The sequence below is a fragment of the Homo sapiens genome, chromosome 19, assembly GCF_000001405.40.
Source record: "Homo sapiens chromosome 19, GRCh38.p14 Primary Assembly".
Taxonomy (NCBI): Eukaryota; Metazoa; Chordata; class Mammalia; order Primates; family Hominidae; genus Homo; species Homo sapiens.
Genome location: NC_000019.10, coordinates 17,717,239 through 17,719,479, shown reverse-complemented (window position 1 = coordinate 17,719,479; position 2,241 = coordinate 17,717,239). Strand labels below are relative to the sequence as shown.

At 53.7% G+C, this 2,241-nt stretch overlaps 1 annotated feature.

Moving 5' to 3' along the window:
- Nucleotides 1,469–1,970: an enhancer, noted in NCBI's record as "H3K4me1 hESC enhancer chr19:17828319-17828820 (GRCh37/hg19 assembly coordinates)". NCBI's record gives its function as "activates a minimal SCP1, AML or CMV promoter by ChIP-STARR-seq in primed H9 embryonic stem cells {active_cell/tissue: H9 hESC(primed)}" and the evidence as "EXISTENCE:reporter gene assay evidence [ECO:0000049][PMID:30033119]".

Here is a 2,241-nt window from a genome sequence, read left to right as displayed (position 1 = left end):
GGCGCCCGCCCCGCAGGCCCCGCCTCTTAAAGGGGCCGCACCGGAAGGGCTGAAGACCCCGCCCGGAACCACCGCATCCCCGCCCCTTTTTGTCGACCACTTACAGGCCCTTTGAGGTCGTGGAGAGCAGGGGATGCGGGCGTTAAAGGGGTTGGCCGACTCCTGGGTGTCCGCTTGGGAGCCGCCTCTCCCAAGTGACCATTCATTCATTTTTTTTTTCATTGAACAAGCTTTGATTGCGTGCCTGCTGCATGTAGGTCAGAACTCCTGCCCTCCAGGAACTCACATCACATGACAGTAGGCCGCATCAGAACCCGGTGCCTATGGATGCTCCCAGCTCTCTAGGTCAGGGCTTGAACAGAGAAAAGAAATCTATCTTGTAGGTAGGGCTTTAAGGGATGTGTAGGAGTTTGCCTTGTGGGTGGTGGGGCAAGAGCTGGTGAGGCAGAAGTTTACAGCAGGTGCAAAGTTTTAGAGGTAAGAAAGTACATGTGTGTTTGGGACACAACCGGAGCACTCTGGGCCTGCCTGGAACAGGGCAACACTTATTCTGCACCTCCTGTGCGCCAGGTATTTTATTGCATTAGCTCATTACATACAAGCACAAAGCGATGAGTTTTGTGCTTGTATGTAGGCACAGATGAGTAGGCACAGTTACTGTGGTCACTTTCAGAGGAAAGAAGAGGAAACTGAGATTTGGAGGGATGAAGTCACCAGGCCTGTAAGTGGTAGAGCAGGTTTGAACCCAAGTGGGTCTTACTCTAGATCCAGCCTGTGCAAGGGACTGCCTGCGTTGCGCACATGGGTACCTCTCTCTCCCCAGATAATCCTCTTTAGGCTTTTCTTTCCTTTCCTCCCCTCTCTTCTCCTCTCCTCCCCTCCCCTCCTCTCCTCTTCTCCCCTCCCCTCCCCTTCTCTCCCCTCTCCTCTCCTCTCCTCCCCTCCCCTCCCTTCCTCTCCCTCCCCTCCCCTCCCCTCCTCTCCCCTCTCCTCTCCTCTCCTTTCCTTTTCTTGAGATGGAGTCTCATTCTGCCGCCCAGGCTGGAGTGCAATGGCACAATCTCAGCTCACTGCAACCTCTGCCTCCCGGGTTCAAGCGATTCCCTTGCCTCAGCCTCCCAAGTAGCGGGATTATAGGTGTCCGCCACCATGCCCTGCTAATTTTTGTATTTTAGTAGAGATGAGGTTTCTTTTCTTTTCTTTTCTTTTCTTTTCTTTTCTTTTCTTTTCTTTTCTTTTCTTTTAGAGACAGAGTCTCGCTCTGTCGCCCAGGCTGAAGGGTAGTGGCGCGATCTCGGCTCACTGCAAGCTCCACCTCCCAGGTTCATGCCATTCTCCTGCCTCAGCCTCCCGAGTAGCTGGGACTACAGGCGCCCGCCACTGTGCCCAGCTAATTTTTTGTATTTTCAGTAGAGACGGGGTTTCACCGTGGTCTCGATCTCCTGACCTCGTGATCTGCCTGCCTCGGCCTCCCAAAGTGCTGGGATTACAGGCGTGAGCCACCGTGCCCGGCAGAGATGGGGTTTCACCATGTTGGCCAGGCTGGTCTCGAACTCCTGACCTCAAGTGATCCTCCTGCCTTGGCCTCCCAAAGTGCTGGGATTACAGGCGTGAGCCGCCGCGCCTGGCCCCCTTTAGCCCTTTGACCCATAGGGGCTACTACTTGACAAATCATCTTGCTTGGAACTTCTGGACAGTGGTCCATGCCCAGGAAACATTGAACCTCCTTTCTCAGGAGTGAGCTCCCTGTCTCCGGGAGTATGCAAAGAAAAGCAGAACAGAAATGGGAAAGATCTGGGAAGGCGAATCAGCCTCCCGCTGCCGTTTATTATCTAGGTTGTTCAGCCCAACTTCCTCCCTGGCCAGTGTGTAACAGCCACTGGCCACGTGCCGTCTACCATTCTTGCACTCCACTTCCTCTCTCTCTTTTTGGTTCTGGCATCCTTCCTCTATCCTTGTCCCTCCCCCTTGGCTCCCTTCCCTGTGTCTCGCCTGCCTGTGATTTCTTCTGTTATTGCTGTGAGCAGTAATAGTAGTGGGAGTGTCTGTGTCGGGCACTATCTCCCCTATAAGGCTGGAAACTTTTGGAAGCCTGAGGCCTCTCTGGGGCCCTGGCCTTGTGCAACACAAGGCTTGGGCATCTGAGAAGGGATATGATAAAGTCTTTTGGAATGGGCTGAAAGGCCTATTTGTCCACTATTCCTTCCTTCCTTCCTTCCTTGTGTATTTATGGATGGGTCC